Source organism: Homo sapiens, chromosome X, assembly GCF_000001405.40.
Source record: "Homo sapiens chromosome X, GRCh38.p14 Primary Assembly".
NCBI classification, from domain to species: Eukaryota; Metazoa; Chordata; class Mammalia; order Primates; family Hominidae; genus Homo; species Homo sapiens.
This window is the reverse complement of record NC_000023.11, coordinates 109839542-109842589: the sequence shown is the minus strand read 5'-3', so window position 1 is coordinate 109842589 and position 3048 is coordinate 109839542. Positions and strand designations below refer to the sequence as shown.

Genomic DNA, 3048 nt, shown 5'->3' with positions numbered 1-3048 from the left:
GAGGCATGAGAATTGCTTGAACCCGGGAGTTGGAGGTTGTAGTGAGCCGAGATCGTGCCGCTGCACTCCAGCTTGTGCAACAGAGTGATACTAAAAAAAAAAAAAAATTTCTGTTCACCCAGCTTGTGGTTAGCCCACTTTAATCTATCATATTACAGCTGTTTGAATATGGGACAGTTATCCATTTTCCATCCTTGAGAGGCTGTGTTTGAATGATTATTGTTTCACTGCAAGTAGACTGGCTATGTTCCAGGAACTGTCCTGTCACTGCATATTGAGTACAGTTCCTGTATTATGCTGGTAAAGCAAAGGTCCTTCATTATAGCCTAAATCTACAGTGTGATTCTGGGCACACATGGCTGCAATTTTGTCCAGTAGCCAATACCAGAAAATTTCTGTTGGTGAACTTTGTTTCAGTGGAAAGCATGATAGCTAGCCCAGGCAGCTTTTGATTTTGAAGATGGGGATGATAGCAGACTCTTTCCATACCATATCATTGGTCAAATGCATCAGACAGAATGTTCTGACTGGTTGAAAATTTCCATTTGTGAGTCACTGCTTCCTTCACTGTCTCTTACCAAAAACTTTTCTTTAAGTTCAAAATTTGTATACTGTCCCTTAAGAGTATGAATAGTCCTATAATACCCTACTAAGTGAGAAAGAATGGTGGGAGGCAAGGAGCCTGTGAGCAGCAAATCCCTGATACAGACACAAAGGATCACAGAGGGCTTGAAGCTTTCACTCAAAGACCTTTTTTTCATTTTTATTCTTTAAAATCCAAGCCACAGATAGCATTTTTTTTCCAAGGAGCTTTTGAAAGCTGTAGTACCAGCCTCCAAGAATTTTGGCAGACTGAACTCTGCCAATCCCAGCCAATGCTAAGTACAAGCCTAAATGTAAGCAACAGGGCAAGGGACAGGTGGAAATGAACAACATCTCATATTTTTACTTCCTTCTATCTTTCCCCACTTCCACTGAGAGCTACATGTCAGAATGTCTGCTGTGGAAGGAAAAGATTGATCGAACGATTCTCTCACATCTAAAGTCATAACGGCCACTAATGTTTAAGCACTAATTCTTTGTCTGAGTGGCGGTATAGTGACTAAGGGCATGGGCTCCAGTGCCACATTCCTAGACTCAAATTCTGACTCTCTGTCTTAGTAACCTAGAGACTTTGGGGCAATTGCTTTACCTGAGAGCTCTTGGTTTTCTCATCTTGGATGTGGCATTAATATCACTACCTACCTCATTGTATTGTTGTGAGGTTTATATTAAACACCTTATATATGTGTGTGTATACATGCATGTGTCTCAAAACAGTGTTTTAATAATAATTTACTAATATTATTATTATTACCAGGGTTAAGGGCTCTTCCACTCTGCCCTATTCTGTTACTGTCATGAATTCCCTATATTGTCCTTGGATCTCAATGCTATGTTTATTGTTCCAACAGTGTCTTCAACTTTGTAGGACTAGACTACACCTATGTCCATGAGAATGTTCACCAGGCTCCTGCCCTAAATCCCCTTTGTGATGGCTCTGGGGGTCCCCTTGGGGCCCTAACACCATAGCCAAAAATAAACTCCTTAATCTACAAGGGAACAAATAGAACATAAAGAGCAAGGGAGACAAAAGTCAGTAGCAAATGGAAGGCTGCCTAACACATCAAAAGCCGCTCCATGCCAGTAGGAAGTAGAAGACCAGAGCTATCCCTTTGGTTTGTGGTTTGCTCACTTTGTTCCGTTCCCCACTTCTTCTCTCCCTCCTATTTCCCCATCCATTTAAAAAAAAAAAAACAGCATGTTGAGGCTGCTGACGCAGTAATCTGGCTTGTGGTAGCTCTTACTGTGTAGTGACTCACACTGAGGAGCAGGAATAATTTGCCTGATGGGGGAGGGAAAGAGAGTTTTGTCTGTGTGGGGGTGTACAAGGCAATTGCTGGGGAGGTAAGCAGACAGCTAAAAGAGCACACCAGTCAGCTCTCCTGGGAAAAACCCTCACAGGCCCAGGGCATGGCATCCCCTTGGCGGAGGAAAAGAGTTTGGAGAGGGCGGAAATCCCAATCATCCAGTTTTCAGTTTAGGGCAGTCACAGAGGACTTCGAAGCCATGGGACTTGATAGATCTTGGCAACTGCAAACCTAAATCTGGAGGACTTGTACAAAGGAGAACAAAGAGCAGAATAGTGAATTAAGTTCTACTTTCCCCTTCCCCCGTCCTCCAGGGACACAGGGCTTTCATGATGCTCGGTGCTTCTCCAAACAACTTTCAATTCAGCACCCCCTCTCAGGTGGGCAGCTTCCCAGCCCAAGTATTGCCAAGCATTTCCAAAGTTCATCACAGTGGAAACCATGAACGGGAAGCCTGACCCACTCCATAGCGGGGCCTTAGGCCTCTACTGGGCTGTCTTCTCTGTAACTCCCAGGCAATTTCAGCGTCAGCCCGTAGGAGGAGATATGGGCAGGAAGCCGCTCGTTTCTTTTCCCCTGGAGGCAGACCTCCTCCCACCCGCTGTTCTTCATACTGTTCATTCACCAGGTTCCTCATAAATACCACAGTCCCCTTTCCCTAGCCTCTCCTCATGACTTCAAAGTGTAGGACAACTTAAATGTGGCTCTTCTCCCCAGAGGTGGTCAGGGATACTTGCTTAAGGCATGCCTTTCTCTCTTTCTCTTATAAAATTTCTCTTGATCTATACTATTTTTCTCAATCCTCTTTTGAATGACTAAAACAGGTCAAATAATCAAATCCAGGTTTGAGTGATGATGGCAGATAGATAATATCTCGCTTTGCTACTTTTCTCAGGCAATTTATGCATTTTCAAAGGATCCTACAATATGTTAGCCCATGTATTGGCACACTTTTTCTGTAAAAGGCCAAATAGTAAATATTTTAGGCTTTGCAGGCCATACTGTCTTTGTTGCAACTATTTAACTCAGCTGTTGCAGTCTGACATCAGCAATAGACAATTCATAAACAAATTGGAGTAGCTCTGTTCCAATAAAGAAATAAACCGAATATCATGTTTTCATGTCACAAAATATTATT

General features: G+C 43.0%; 1 annotated feature.

The window, feature by feature from the left end:
* Positions 2013-2525: an enhancer, noted in NCBI's record as "NANOG-H3K27ac-H3K4me1 hESC enhancer chrX:109083294-109083806 (GRCh37/hg19 assembly coordinates)". NCBI's record gives its function as "activates a minimal SCP1, AML or CMV promoter by ChIP-STARR-seq in naive H9 embryonic stem cells {active_cell/tissue: H9 hESC(naive)}" and the evidence as "EXISTENCE:reporter gene assay evidence [ECO:0000049][PMID:30033119]".